The sequence below is a fragment of the Homo sapiens genome, chromosome 10 (genome assembly GCF_000001405.40).
Source record: "Homo sapiens chromosome 10, GRCh38.p14 Primary Assembly".
NCBI classification, from domain to species: Eukaryota; Metazoa; Chordata; class Mammalia; order Primates; family Hominidae; genus Homo; species Homo sapiens.
The window spans coordinates 48,403,186-48,419,970 of record NC_000010.11 but is presented as its reverse complement, the minus strand read 5'-3'; the positions used below and the strand labels follow the sequence as shown (position 1 = coordinate 48,419,970).

At 37.6% G+C, this 16,785-nt stretch overlaps 1 protein-coding gene across 26 annotated transcripts in view; it reads right to left on the bottom strand.

Annotated features, from left to right (window-relative positions):
• MAPK8 (mitogen-activated protein kinase 8) overlaps positions 1 to 16,785 on the bottom strand; it is a 132,684-nt gene that overhangs the window by 19,390 nt on the left and 96,509 nt on the right. For all 26 annotated transcript variants that reach the window (NR_136583.2, NR_136584.2, NR_136585.2 and 23 more), the window contains 3 exons: positions 14,990 to 15,119; positions 10,034 to 10,092; positions 9,803 to 9,941 (listed from right to left, as the gene is read on the bottom strand). Coding sequence is in view for 23 of the 26 variants with exons in the window: in XM_047425482.1 (XP_047281438.1) it covers positions 9,803 to 9,941; positions 10,034 to 10,092; positions 14,990 to 15,119 (328 nt within the window). In the remaining 3 variants the exon portion in view is untranslated. The remainder of the gene's footprint in view (positions 1 to 9,802; positions 9,942 to 10,033; positions 10,093 to 14,989; positions 15,120 to 16,785) is intronic.

Genomic DNA, 16,785 nt, shown 5'->3' with positions numbered 1-16,785 from the left:
ATTTATGAATACATACAGTTATTAGAGAAGTTAGTAATGTTTTAATTGCTAGAAATTATGATTAGCTAGACATTTTTGGTTAGAGTAAAAGGGATTTGAAAAGACATCGCAAAGCTCACATAAAAAAACTACTATAGTAAAAGAAAGTCATAAGTTAGCATTTATATTCATTTGCATAACATATTACCAATATTTTTAAAATCTCATTTTAAAGTCACAATAAGCTTTATACAGATGTTTTAAGTCAACAACGAGCCATCTTGTCAATCCTAACAAATGTTATTTGATCTTTTAGACTGGCAGATACCCAGTTCCAAAGGACTAGAAGAGTCATTATCCATTTTTCCATCCCTGATTTCCCACCTGAAGTCACACAAATTTGCTATAAAATTTCTGTCTGTTTGTAGAAGTAGGACACCATTGCCTTGGTGCCACTAATCTATAAAATTACTTGCTATAGATACTACTGAATAATTCAGAATTTTTCACCTGGCCCCTACTTTAACATATTCTGTGCTGTGCCCATCAAAAGTCAGGCAGCAGCATAAACACTCATGGCTTCATGTTTAACATACTTTGCCTGTTAGCTTTGATGAATACTATTATAAGCCAAAGGACCAAAAAACGAAGAAAGCATAAATCCACAACACAAATGCACTGTATTACCTGTACTGACATGCAGTATACATATTAAATATCACCGATTAATACAAAAAAGGAAAATAGCCTGCTTGAAAGACAACTATTACTTTTGTATTACTTTTGTAATGTTAACATACAGAAAAGCATGTATGTTGTCTTTAACATATTTCGACAGGCAATCATGGATGGGTTTAGAAGATATGTAATCTAGTGGTTTTATGAAATTAAATATACCAACAATTCAAAGGTCTTAATGAAACAGAAGAAAAAAATTTTCATTATTGGTATTCTGTAAATATAATGTTGCTAATACTTCTAAAATACAGTACCTCAGCAAAGAAACACTGCATGTTTAAGAATAAATATTACAAGCTTTGATACTACTTCAATGTTTAGTGTGATGGTTGAAGGTTACTGGCTCTTTATACTAGCAGATTCCAATTTAGAAATAACATTCCAATTTCAAGCACTTCATTGTGAAAAAATTAAGAGCAAAGTAACAATTTTTAAAGACAGATATTTTTGTTAAGCAAAAAAATTGTCAAAAAAAGCCTCAAAGACTATTAATTGAAATTCATCCATATATATCAATATGTACCTTACAGCTGTTAATTACACTGCTAACTATATATAAGAATAGCAACTTAGAATTTATGCAGGCAGTGGAACTAACCCAACATTCTGTCTTCTTCCCCCAATTTTTCTAGCTTCCTCAGTTAGGCAAGGGCACGTGGGTAGTTCTAGTTCATGGGATGTGAGTGGAAGTAAAGAAGAGAAGGGCCAGTGCACAACTTCCTGTCATCTCCTGCCCTGCTTTGGTGATTAGGAACTTTCCAGAGGATTCTCTGGCAGCCTGGGTTGCTGATCATCTATGTAAACGCACAGTCCACAAACCCACCATGATCTGCACCACACATTCAGCAAAGGAAATAAGCCTGAGTCGTGCTAAGCCACTGAGAATTAAGGGTTTATCTGTTATTCAGTACAGCTGAGTCTATTCTAACACTGAAACTGGTGTCAGAGGTGGGGTGTTAATTATTATAAAAACATAAGATCCTGGCTTAGCAGTTGAGCAGCAGGGAAACTCACATCGAAGGCTGGAAAGGTGATCTAGGTTACGTAGTAACAAAACATTTCATGAAGCTGTCACCTGCACAGCCACTTGTACAATGAACCTGAAGCTCTAGCACAGGGGCTGGCAAATTAAGGCCTGCCTGCTTTGTAAAGAAAGTGCTGATACTGAAACACAGTCATGCTCATTCAAGTACAGATCACCTATGGCTGCTTTTGTGTTACAATGGCAGAGTCTTGTAGCTGTGACGCAGACTATTATCCACAAAGCCTAAAATATTTACTACATGGCTTTGACAGAAAAAGTTTGTTGAACCCTGCTCTAGAAAAGACTGGAAAGCAAAACTTCAGTAGTTTGTGTTGGTAGCTACTGGTTGCATTTAAAAGAAGTAGCCACCTTTTAAAGCAGAAATAAAAGGGAACAGAGCCTAGAATTTCAGGGTCTTGCCATTTTGGAAAAGCTAAATGCTACTAGACCCCTGGAAGAAAGTATGGTAGATTGTTCTGCAAATATTCCTGCTCACCCCAGACTGTGTCCTCACCCTATCGATAGGTTCAGTCACTTGTCTTATTTTGTCCAATGGAATATGGGGGAATGTGTTTGACTCAGCATAGCTCTTGCTCTTCTACCTTTCACCATGAGAAAAGGATGTCTCTGGTGTATGCTTCAGTTTAGATGCTGAAACCTGAATATGGGACAAGCCTGAACTTGACCCACAGTTTGGAGCAGTGTCACACAGCCAACCCTGCAGACCCAAGTAAACAATAAATATTGCCTTAAGCCACTGATATCTTGGGTTGGTTTCTATGCATCATTTTCACATAATAATTATGAAACCCTTTCAGGGAAAAAGTCCTGTAAAATTTTCAATTGATAAATTTGCCTCAGTCTGCCAACAGAAGCTTGAAAGCTTACAGGAAGACTGAAGACAGCCTCAATTAAGTCCAAGAATACAGGACCCATGAGCTAAAAAAGATACTATGAAAGGAACTACAATCAGAAAGATAAGAAATCTCTTAAATTTCTGAAAGAGTTAGTTAACTGTCAGACCTAACGCCAAAGGTCTATGATCCTTCTACACTTCAAACAGGAGTTCTCAATTCACAGTAATTTTGCCCCAAAATAATATTTGGCAATGTCAGAAAACATTTTTGATTGTCACAACTGGGGAGTGCTACTGGCATCTAGTGGGTAGAGGCCAGGAATGCTACTAAACATTCCATCATCAAAAGAAAGAACTGTTTGCTCCAAAATGTCAATAGTGGCAAGGCTGAGAAGGATGGCCTTAAAATGACCCTTGGGCCCCAATCTTTTATAGGTAAGAAGCAGGCTGAGAAAGGTGAGCAGCCCTCAAGGAAAATACATTCTTCAATATCCACTTTAGATATATTCATGAGGATAGCAAAAAGATGACTCTCCCACAGGGTAGAGCCAGGTACTATAGAGAACCACAGAGATCAGTCAGGAGGACTGATTAGGAATATTCCCCACCCACGGCAAGGGACACTCACAATGTCTGTACAGAAGAATTTAATTACAACTAACCAATGACTGCATTTTTCAGTTTTCTAAATGGGATTGTTCACTGTGATAACACTGGCCCTGTCTGACCACTCCATCTATGGTATTTGGCAGGGGAGCAGTGGTTATAGGGTTGGCCATATAATTTGGTCATTCCAGTTCCTATGTTTCTGGACCAAGAGGAACAATGCCTGGATTTGATAAATGTCTTGATGGAATAGAACTTTGGGTTATTTCCCTTAAGAAGGTGTGGAATAAAGGGAGCAAAGGAATGTTTGCCAGCCAGAAGAACAGACTGTGGCAGAGGCTGGGGCTCACCACTATGCTGAAGTCTGCTCTCCCCACATTTCCGAGTTTCCTTACAAATTAAGCAAGTCTATGGCTAGCTTTGTCAATGCACTCTAAGCAGAAGTCATGTGTGTCACTTCCAAGCAAAGAAGAGCCATCCATGCACATCACTTGGCTTTCTCTTTCCGACAAAGTGACCCGCAACTATCTAGATGGTGGGACCTCGTCAGCTTTGGTCTCACAGTAGCAATCCTGACTTGCCCTGAACCCCCAAGGGATGAAAGGTCAGGTTATTTTACCAAGTAAGTAACCTCAGACTAGCAGAAGTACTAGCCAAGGGTGGAGGTGAATCTAGAATAAGTAGTAGAGCAGAGAGATGAGTACCAATCGTGGCCTCAAGACCACCTGCAAAAAACTTAAATGCGTATCCCCACTCTAGAGTTTCCCAAAGAGCCCAAGCCAAGATAAAGGGAGATTCTTCATAATAGATAACAGACCCCAGTAGATCTCATTAGCTCCACTTTATCACATTAAGAAATTTTCTACAGATGTACTTCATTTTTACCACTTTATGTACTGATACTAAGGGAGTAAGTTAGAATATCCCAATACAACTGTGCTTGTGCCATTCTTCTATTTTCTACAGTTTAAGCTTTTTGTATAGCAACCCTACTTCATGTATAATTGTGTATCCTAATTGGATAGTATCTTTCACCTTGAAAACGCGAGACTCTTTATTCTCAGAGAGGAACACTTCCTCTCTGACCCCACCATATTCAACTTTATCTCATTAAATAGAGTTACCCTTGTTTTAATGTTTGCATTTTCCTGGTATATGTCTGCCAACCTCTCTGCCTTCAGCCTTTTGAAGTTAGCTACGAATGTTTGTGTTATGGAAATACGCAGTTGTTGTTGAGCCTTGTGTGCTGCCAAAATCTGACCTTTTTAAATTAAGGAACTAATCCGATTAACATATTACCATAAATATTGCTCTTTTGTAATTTTGTGTTTGTTTTTTGTGGTTCTTGTTGTTTCCATTGTTTTCTATCTTCTACCATTTGGTCTGTTTTTCTGGTCCAGCCACCTGCTATCCTCATTAATCTGGAACCTTTCTATTTGGAGGGGTGTGCTTTACTAAAATCAAATGAACTTCCACAATGTTGGATTACTGCCCCGGTCTAAGGACTCAGGAAACAAACAACCCAAACCTAGAAGTTTCACTCGTCTGCTCTACTTCACATACTGTATGAGTAGGGGCTCAGGAAGATAAAATACTCTCCCATTTAAAGAGATTTTTATTATGTTATTTAAAGATTGCATTAGACAAATGATTAGAGCAGCTGTATATGTAATATACAAGGAATTCACTTACAATGATAATTAAGGATAAGCCTGTAGCAGGATTGTTCACTTAAAAAAAAAGCCCCAATAGCCCTAAGACATAATTGTCTTATACTGTGAAAACTCTCTCTGTATTTATTTTATTACATGAGTAAGGTTATTTGACGCAGATGACTCAGAAGGAAGATGTAATTCCACTGAATTAAATAATTTTTAAAAATTCCAGGCTGGGCATGATGGCTCATGCCTGTGATCCCAGCACTTTGGGAGGTCAAGGCAGCTGGATTGCTTGAAGCCAGGAATACAAGACCAGCCTGGGCAATATGGCAAGACCCCGTCTCTACAAAAAAATAAAAAATAAAAATTTGCCAGGCATGGTGGTACATGTCCATAGTCTTAGCTACTTGGGAGGCTGAAGTGGGATGATCACTGAGCCCAGGAGGTAAAGGCTGCAGTAAGCCATGTTCATGCTACTGCACTCATGCCTGGGTGACAGACAGAGACCCTGTCTCAAAAAAAAAAAAAAAAAAAAAAAAAATTCTTTTCAACCTATTGAACCCAGGAGTTCAAGGCTGCAAGTGAACTATGATTACGCCACTGCATCCTGGCCTGAGTGACAGAGGAAGATTCTGTCTCTCAGGAAAAAAAAAAAAAAAAATCCTCTCAATACTTTTCAAAGAATAAGCTAGATTTAACTAAAATACAAAACATACCAACACACAAAAAAATTTTACATAAATGTTCATGTCAGCATTACCTGTAATAGTCAGTGGTAACAACCCAAATTATAATCAAGTGATAAATGGATAAACAATATATCTATACAGTGAAATATTTGTCAATAAAATGACAAGAAGAACTGACACACAATAAATACATGAATGAACCTTGAAAAGATTATGCTAGGTAAAATAAGCCAAGCACAAAATATCACATATTATATAATTCTATGTACATGAAATGTCCAGAATAGACAAATATACAAAGACAGAAAGTAGATTAGTGTTTGCTTAGGGCTAGAGGTGAAAGGAACACAGAAGAATGGGAAATAAAGATGAGTGGATGTGGAGTTTCTTTTAGGGCAATAGAATTTTCTAAAGTTAAGATTGTGGTAACGAGCATACAATCTTCAAATATAATAAACACTGAGTGGTACACGTTAAATGAATAAATTGTATGGCATGTAAATTATATAGCAAAAAAGCAGGTAAAAATCCCAGAGAACAAAAATATAAAATATTTCTGAATATATATATATATATATATATATATATATATATATATATATATAACAATTCTGGCAAATACTCAATTTTGGTAACTTGGTAATATTCAATTCCCAATTTGGAATGACTGGTAATAACAGCAGTTTATTTTGTATACTGCTTCACTTCAGAGCAAAAACAAACTTTACATTGCTCCATATAAATCAGTGAAATACAGTGATACTAAGAATTTGATGAGAGGCAGTGATGTCAGCCAAAATAGCTCCACAGAAGCACCATAAAACATCAAAGTGTCAGAATAAACTTTTTCAGAATTCTGGAAATTATTCAAAGGTTTACGGCAATCAAGTGAACTCAGAACCAAGAAAATGGCAACTTAAAAACAGGAAACCACCTCACACCCTTTAGGATGGTTACTATGAAAAAAATAAAAGTGTTGGTAAGAATGAGGAATAACTGAAACCCTTCTGCACTACTGGTGGGAATGTAAAATGGTACAGCTGCTATGGAAAACAGTGTGGCAGTTTCTCAAAATGTTAAAAAGAATGACCATGTGATCCGGCAATTCCACTTCTGGCTGTAGCCCAAATGAACTGAAAAGTAGGGTCTCAAAGAGATATTTGGACAACCATGTTCATAGCAGCATTTTTCAAAAGAGCTAAATGTGGAACCAACCCAATTGCCACTGACTGATGAATGGATAAGCAAGTATGGTATATACATAAATGGAATATTATTCAGCCTTGAAAAGGAAGAAAATTCTGACATATGCTACAACATGGATAAACCTTGAGCACATTATGCTAAGTGAAATAAGCCAGTTGCAAGGAGGCAAATACTGCATGATTCCGCTTATATGAGGTATTTATAGTAGCCAAAATCATATAGACATAAAATAGAATGATGTCTGTCGGGGGTTGCGGGGAGAGGAGAATAGGGAATTACTGTCTGGTGGGTGGAGAGTTGCATCTTCACAAGATGAAAAGAATTCTGGAGATGGATGGTGGTGATGGTTGCACATTATGAATGTATTTAATGCCACAGAACTGTAGATTTAATGGTTAAAATGGCACATTTTATATGTATTTACTACAATAAAAAGGTGGGGAAAAAACATTGGGAAATATTTCCAGCATTTTAACTAGTCTTTGGCTCTACCTGCCTCCCTAACTAGCAAAGGATTTTGAAGAAAGCAGCCACATTTTCAGTGTGGGACCCTGGTCCAAGGTTAGACAGAGGCATTCCTTGAAAACATGGTTAAGGCAAGTAAATAGCCCAATGCTGCCTGGGACAAAACATTAAAGTGGAGGAGAAAACAAGACATGGCATACCATTAAGCATATCAACTTTGCATAATGGGAGTTCCAAAAGGAGAAGAAAGAGAAAAATGAGCAGAAAAAATATTTAAGAAAATAATGACTGAAAATTTGCTAAATTTGATAAAAGATATGAATCTATTTTTTCTTTTTAGCTTCCTTCCATCCTGATCAAAAAAGACATGAATCTACATATCCAAGCTGCTGAATGAATACTAAGATGGATAAACATAAAGAGATCTGCACTAAGACACATAATCAAACTGTTGAAAGCGAAAGACAAAAAGGCATCTTGAGAGCAGCAAGAGAGGTGCATTTGTCACTTATAAAAGATCCTCAATGAGCTTAACAGCTGATTTATCACTGGAAGCCATGGCAAAACAAATAGCAATGGATGATACATCTAAAGTGCTGAAAGAGGCCAGGTGGGGTGGTTCACGCCTGTAATCCCAGCACTCTGGGAGGCCAAGGCGGGCAGATCACTTGAGGTCAGGGGTTCGAGACCAGCCTGACCAACATGGTGAAACTCTGTCTCTACTAAAAATACAAAATATTAACCAGGCGTGGGGGCAGGCCCCTGTAATCCCAGCTACTTGGGAGGCTGCGGCAGGAGAATTGTTTGAACCCAGGAGGTAGAGGTTGCAGTGAGCTGAGAATGGAGAAGACAAGACAAGACAAATGGGAGGGGAGGGGAGGGGAGGGGAAGAGAGGAGAGGGTGGAGAAAGGAAGGAAGGGGAAGGGAGGGGGGAAGGGAGGGAAGGAGAGAAAAGAAAGAAAAGAAAAAAGAAGAGAAGGAAGGAAATGGTAAGACATCCTATGTTTGTGAATTGGAAGACTAAATATTGTTACGATGGCAAAACTACCTAAGCAATCTACAGATGCAATGAAATACTAATTAGAATTCTAATTGCCCTTTCTGCAGAAATAGAATGATACTCAAATTCATATGGCATCACAAAGGGCTCTGAAAAGCTAAAACAATATTGTAAAAGAATAAAGCTGGAGAATTGATACTTCTCCATTTCAAGTTACTACGAAGCTAAAAGTGATCAAAATAATGTGGTACTAGTATAATACATGGTCAGGCACATAGGAGCTATGTGAAACAGAACTGAGAGTCCAAAAATGAAACCATGTATCTATGACCAACTGTTTTTTGACAGGGGTGCCAAGACCATTCAATGGGTTAAGAGTAGTCTCTAACAAATGGTGCTGGCACAACTAAATTGCCACATACAAAAGAATGAAGTTGGAACCTTACCTCATACCAGACAAAAAATTAACTCAAAATAGATCAAAGACCTACATGTGAGACTTAAACTATAAAACTCTTAGAAGAGCCCATAAGACTAAATCTTCATGACCATGGGTTTGACAATGGATTCTTATACATGATACCAAAAGCACAAGTGATGAAATAAACAATTGTATTTCATTAAAATTATAGTTTTTGTGCATTAAAGGAAATCATCAGCAAAGTGAACAGACAACCTACAGAATGGGAGAAAATATTTACAAATTATATACCTGATAAAGGTTTCATGTATGAAATACATAAAGAAATGCTAAAACAACAACAAAAAGACAAACAACCCAATTTAAAAATGAGCAAAGGGCTTGAATACACATTTCTCCAAAGAAGATACACAAATGGCCACAAGCACATGAAAAATGCCCAACATTATTAGTCGTTAGGGAGATGCAAAGTAAAATCACAAGAAACACCACTTCGTACCCATTAGGATGGCTAGAATTTAAAAAGTCAGATAACAAGTACTGACAAGGATGTGAAGAAACTGGAACCCGCATACACTGCTAGTGGGAATGTAAAATAGTGCAGTCACTGTGCAGTTTGATGGTTCCTCAGAAAGTTAACTATAGAATCACCATATGACTCAGCACTTCCAGTCACAGGTATATCCTAAAGGACTGAAAATATATATTCAAACAAATATTTGTGCTTGAATTTTCATAGCACGATCCATAATAGCTGAAAGGTAGAAATAACCCAAATGTCCATCGATGGATGAATGGATGAACGAAATATGGTATATAGAATATTATTCAGTCATAAAAAGGAATGAACTATTGATACACGGTAAACATGGAGAAATCTTGAAAACATCACGCCGTATTTCATATAAATGGAAACATAAAGGCAAATCTATAGACACAGAAAGCAGACTGGTATCATGCCAGGGCAAAGATGCACAACTGCTTAAGAAACATGGAGACTTTTTTGGGGGTAATGAAAATATTTTAGAATTTAATATGGGTGGTAGTTGTACAGCACTGTGAATGTACTAAAAATGCCACTTTAGAATGGTTAATTTTGTTACATGAATTTCACCTCAATGAGAAAACAAAGAGTATGACGATAGTTTCTTCTACTAACCCGATGAATAATTCCAGCAGAATGAAGGTGCTTGATTCCACACAGCATCTGATAGAGAAGGTAGGACATTCTTTCATGATCTAGCTCCATCTGAATCACTTGGCAAAGATTTGCATCCATGAGCTCCATGACTATGTAACTTTATGAGTGAAAAAAGAGAACAGCTAAAGTGTCCAGCAGCAATCTAAGAAAAATGTACTAACTTAACAAAATTTTAATTATTACACTTACACATCTTGAAATTCTTCTAGGGATTTCTGTGGTGTGAAAACATTCAAAAGGCCAATTATCTATAATAAAAGTCGAGAGACAGAAAAATTAGAAATTACTTCATAATATTTTAATTTGGGAACTACAAATACATGAGTTAAAAAAAACTACCATCAGTTTAAAATCTTTCTTTACATTCTAAGCTCAAGTTAATTGCTTTCATTTTATATATTGCAACTTTATGGGCAGGAGTTGGAGGAGGGGATGGATAGGTGGAGGCACAGAGTATCTGTAACCCATTTATCTGTAATTCCATTTATGAACAGTCAATTATCAAGCACTTACATTATACAAACCTCTACATAATTTATCAGCAAATCTTAAATCCCTTCTACCAGTTCTTTTCCAATTCAGTATCTCTATATAATCTCAGCCCTTTCCTCCCTTGGTTTTTCATAATACTGCACTTGCCCAGTTTTCTTCATTCCCAGTCTATTTCACTGGTTCATCCATAAGCATATCCCTTCTCACACTATTGTGTTTAACCCATTTCTTTTCACTTTTTGCATGGACATCTCACAAAATAAGGTAACACTGAATTCATTTTCATTCCTACCCAAACCCCTTACTTTTCCAGTGTGCCCTCTCTTTTACAAAAGAAGGCTCAGGGTGATTTTTAACTCCTTTTTCAGTATATGCACCATAATAAATACTCATAGAATGCTGTCCATTCTACTGTCAATCTGACCTTCAATCTCTTTTTTCCATTCCCTGTGCTATAAACAGCTTGAAGACTAACATCTAGACTGTTCATGCTGTAATTCCTTCTAACACTAGTGTTACAGATTGATTGTCCCTCACACACACACCCCACACAATTCATATGTTTAACTCCTAGCACCCAATGTGATAGTATTTGGAAATGGGGCCTTTGGAAGGTAATAAGGGTTAGATTAGGTCATGAGAGTGGGGCGCTCATAATGGAATTAGTGGCCTAAAACAAGGGAAGACGAAAAGAGCAATTTTTCTCTCCCTCTCCTTGAGCACACACTGAAGAAAGGCAAATGAGGACAAGGTGAAAAGTTGGCCACCTCCAAGTCAGGAAGCAGGCCCTCATCAAGAATCAAATTGACCAGCAACTTGATCTTGAACTTCCCAGCCTACAGAATTGTGAGAAATAAATCTCTGTTGTTTAAGACACCCAGTGTACAGTATTTTGTTATGGTGGCCTGAGCTGATTAAGGGTCACTAACGATGGTTTTCTACAAATCCAGCTACCATTTACTGCCTATAATATGGTAAAAGAAAGACCTGATCATATTACTTACCTCCTCAAAAATTTAAAGCCAACAAATATATTCTGAAACTCCCTTGCAGTATATTCAAAAGCCTCCATGATATGCCATCAACTCACTTCATCTCCTGCTAAGTCCTATATTACACTTCATACTTTAGCTATGCTAGTTTTAAGAATGTCATTTTTAAAATGTTTTGATGCTTTTAAACATACTATTCCCTATGCTTGTCATTTATCTACTCAACTTAATTATCTTCCAGGTGAACCTCTTTTGTAGATTCTGACAACTCCTAGTTCTTGACAGAGTTGACTATTCTCTCTACTTTGTCCCCAGTTATCTTCTAATGTTGTTATGGTATTCAGCACACTGTAATCTAGTCTCATTTTCACATCAGCCTCATCCCTACCACAGAGAATCCTTATTAGAAACAACTGTGTCTTAATCACTTTTACTGCCTAGTATATGGCAAGTTACATGACACACATATAAAAATGTTTGCTGACGATGATACTTGGGGATGGGAATTTGTTTTTTAGGCATAAACTTTATAAGGGCAGAATTGATGTTTTTCTTTTAAGCATTCAGCTTTACATAAGGTATTTAAATATTTGTTCAGTGAATAAATTCGGAAAAATAATACACCAGAAAGGGCCAAACAAATTTAAGAGAGGGAAATGATAATAAGAAAGCATCTGGCTGCTCTAAATAAGTTCAAGTCTACCAACCGCATGCAATGCACAATAGGAGACTTGGACAAATACTAAATCTATTCTCATTAATATCTGGGAAGCCCTAGAGTAGAAGAGAGGTATTAAATATTAAAGGCATATAGAGACAGAAAGAAGATTGATTAGTGGTTGTTTAGAACTGAGAAGGATGGGAGGTAGGGGAATGACAGCTAAAGGATAAAAGATTTCTTTCTTTTATCCTGAGGTGATAAAATTATTCTAGAACTGACTGTAGTGATGGTCCCACATATCACTGAATATACTAAAAACCACTGAATGGTATACTTCAAATGGGTGAATTGCATGACACAGAAATTATATTTCAATAAAGCTGTTATAAAAGAGATTCAAACAGATAGTTGTCCCATTTTTCAAAAAGGGAAATAAAGGAAATTATATCAGTTATAGACTGGACAGCCAAGCAAAAGTCAATGATTAGTAGTGGTATATAACTACTTCAAAAGAAGTAACAATTACCAAGAGCAGGTAAAAGTTCATTGAGAAATACTATTTCCTTCCATGAATAAAAACAACAAAGAACAATAGCAATAAATCAGAAAAATGCAACCAGACACAGTATATGAAGATTTCAAAATGGCATTTTACAAAATGTTTCTAATAATAACATCCATGTGAATAAGATGATGAATTGGAAACAGCTGGATAACTGTGATAGTTAGACACGTAATTTCTGCAATATGCTCAAAAGTTGCTAATGAATTAATCCAGCTATTACAAAGATATCCTGAGCAAAACTGGGAAGTGAAGCCCACAAGTGAAAAGTCAGAACAAGGAAGAAAAAAGCAATCACAGCAATCACTAGTAGACCAGGAAGAGCAACCACATTTCACCTTTGAAATTTAATAGGGAGAAACATGAAGTACTATACTTAATTCTCCATAATCAAAAGAAAAAATATAAAGACTGGGTGAGATGGGAACTGTAAGGCAGGCCTGTAACAAAGAAAGACAACGGGAGTCAGATGGGGACGAAATTTCTAAACAGGGTTTTAATGTCTACAGTTAAGAGATGACATGCCTCAGCTCCTCTCAGAGGATTTGATCAGACGTGCAGTACTGTGTGCTAGGTGGCTTATGCAGTAGTGTGTGCTAGGTCACTTTCAAAGTGTGTTCAGAGATAAACGGCCAAGATTAAAAAAGAAACTCAAGACCATCTATGAAAAGAATGAGAAAAACCAGAGATGCTTAGACCAGTGAAGAGACAATCTGTACAGAGGATGAAATTGTTTAAAAGGCAAAACACTACAAAAACATCCATCCATGGGTGAGTGGAATAATTCAGTTACCATTTCCAGTTTTCCCATATTTAGCTTTATACTCACTCACTGAACAAATATATTCTGAGTACCTACTCTTGTCCACACTCTTCTAGGTGCTGAGAGTTCTGCCTGGATAAACCTCTGCCACCCCTGCTAGAGGCCTAATCATGTGAGACATGCTTAGTCATACTCCATGCAGTTGAAGGAACCACCTTTCTTTGCAGTCACCCAGGCTTGAGAGGTAGGATTAACTGAACTCCTCCCCAAGGAAAAACTAAGGCAACACCACCACTGCCATGGAACTGCGTTCACAGGCCACAAGGGGCACGAGCAGCTCTATCCATGGACAGGATGCCACCAGCAAAACTGTGATGAGCAACACATCAAGTTCCCGCTTGGAACAAGAATGGCTACCACAACTTCCTCCCTATTATTATCTAAGTTTAATCTTTGTCTCTGGACCTTTTTTACGTCATTCTTCCTCTCTGAAGGCTCCTTTCCTTCAACAATCCAATTTTTACCCCATCTTTAAGAGTCAGCCTAGGTCTACTCCTCCCCAAAGCCTTCCCAGTTAATTAAAGCTCACAGAAATCGTCCCTCTTTTTAGATTTCAATATATGGGCCACCATCATCATTTGACAAACGGCCACTGCTTTGTGATGTTTGATATTTAACTCTCTGTATGTCTGTTTTGTATTCAAAACACCATTGTAAGCTCCCCAAATAAAGGGCCTAATCCTGAACTTCCATGATTTTTTTTTCCCTTGATAATGAACCCAGTAACTCCAATACACAGAGGCCTGCACATATTTAGATCTCAAAATGTGGTAAATTGTATTATCTGTAGTCAGAAGGTACTGTGCTCATTATATTATATAAACTCTTTTGGACAAACACTACGAAATGTCTTTAGTCAGATGCCTTCGGTTTAGGACTGCCTAAAAGTGTCCCTTACACAATTCACTCCTAGTTTATTTCCTCAACTGAAGAAATCATTCCATTAGAACAATCACAAAAGTATGAATAAGCTTAATGTAAGTTTAAAAAAGTATAACTGTTTATTCTCAAAATGAGTGCAACTTATATATCTTTATAAAGACTTATCTTTGCAATCATTAGAAAATAGAATTAGAAACATGTTAATACCCTCTAGATAGTTTCAAACACTTTCTGCTAAACCCACTATCCTCATCATAAAGTGATCAGTGAATACTGCCATCACTTAAAGAGGTGGGAGTGGGGTAGGGAGAAGTGATATAAATTTTATATTCAATATGATTAAAGTCAGAGTGTCAAAGCATAATGGGAACAATTTCATCTCTGTGCTAATGCTACAGTTTTCTAAATGTCAGCCTGACGGAGAACAAAAAGCAGAAGATGAGATCAAGCTGAATAAAATTCTTCTCAAACGCTTATCTTTTTAAAACTCCTTTTGTAAATTAAATGACAGGAAATCATATAATCTAAATTTTAGAAGCCATTCTTCTGATACAATTTAATAAAGTTGAGGAAAATCACCCTGTAGATATATATATATATATATATATCCCTTTTAAACAATGTTTTAATACAGAACAATTTAAAGCCCCTAATATTTAGTCTTTGATATTCACATATTCATGAATAAATCTTGATTTCATCTATACTTAGGAAACCAAAAATGTTCACTTACATTTTTGTGATTAACACATTTCATAAGAACTAGCTCTCTGTAGGCCCGCTTGGCATGAGTCTGATTCTGAAATGGTCGGCTTAGCTTCTTGATTGCAACATTTCTTTCAAGAATGGCATCATAAGCTGCGCTGTAATAAGAAATTCAAAAACACACAAAAAAACTTCAAGCAAAAATCTGTAAACTGAATTCATGAAACAGTCATATACATTTCTCACTTTCTCCAAAGACAAGTAACTGGATCCCTTCCAAGTCTATGACGCTCAACATGTGTCTTCTATATCTATTACAACATATATTTTTTTGCAACTATTTCCTAAAATGCTAATGGATCCAAATAGACAGTGGACTATGCCAACAGAGACCCTGCATGTTCGTTGTGTTGCCTCAAAGATCCACCTAGTACATCGTGGGCACTCAATGTACAAATCCATAATTATTTAGCTCCACTAGATAGCCTAAAGCCTAAATAAATCCTTAACCTTGTACTTCCATCAAGAAAAGGTAGGATAAAGAATGCATACGAGGCTGGGTGCAGTGGCTCACGCCTGTAATCCCAGCACTTTGGGAGGTCAAGGTGGGTGGATCATGAGGTCAGGAGATCGAGACCATCCTGGCCAACACAGTGAAACTCCGCCTCTACTAAAATACAAAAAAATTAGCTGGGTGTGATGGTGCACACCTGTAGTCCCAGCTACTTGAGAGGCTAAGGCAAGGGAATCACTTGAACCTGGGAGGCGGAAGTTGCAGTGAGCCAAGATCGCACCACCGCACTCCAGCCTGGTAGACTCCCTCAAAAAAAAAAAAAGCATATAAATTCTACTCAAAAGATTTGCTGAATAATTCTATGTAAACACATTACTTCTATCCTTTTGGACACAATAAAATAAATACAGAAGGGCCAGGCGCAGTGGCTCACGCCTGTAATCCCAGCACTTTGGGAGGCCGAGGCGGGTAGATCACGAGATCAGGAGATCGAGACCATCCCGGCTAACATGGTGAAACCCTGTCTCTACTAAAAATACACACACACACACACACACACACACACACACACACACACAAATTAGCCGGGCGTGGTGGCAGGCACCTGTAGCCCCAGCTACTCCGGAGGCTGAGGCGGGAGAATGGCGTGAACCCGGGAGGCGGAGCTTGCAGTGAGCCAAGATCACGCCACTGCACTCTAGCCTGGGCGACAGAGTGAGACTCTGTCTCAAAAAAAAACAAAAAAACAAAAAAACAAAAAACAAAAAACAAAATCTGAACAGAGAGCTGGCTTTCAGAATCCTAATACTGACTATATAATATGATTTTCTTTAAATTTAATTTATGGTTGGTTAAATGTGGTTGGTTACAATGAGAACAGGCCAGTCAAAACGGCTTACAAAATGACTCCAACTTCTATAATTTTTGATATTGTAAATTACTTCAAGAATGCAGGAAAGATAATAAATGCCATTCTATTATGCAAATTTATTAAATCTTAATACGTTACCATAATTGCTCTGATTTTTTTTTTTTTTTTAGACGGAGTCTCACTCTATCACCCAGGCTGGAGTGCAGTGACACCATCTCAGCTCACCACAACCTCCACCTCCCGGGTTCAAGCTATTCTCCTGCCTCCGCCTCCCAAGTAGCTGGGATTACAGGCATGTGCCACCATGCCCAGCTAATTTTTGTATTTTGAGTACAGACAGGGTTTCACCATGTTGGCCAGGCTGGTCTTGAACTCCTGACCTCATGATCCACCCACCTCGGCCTCCCAAAGTGCGGGGATTATAGGCGTGAGCCACCGC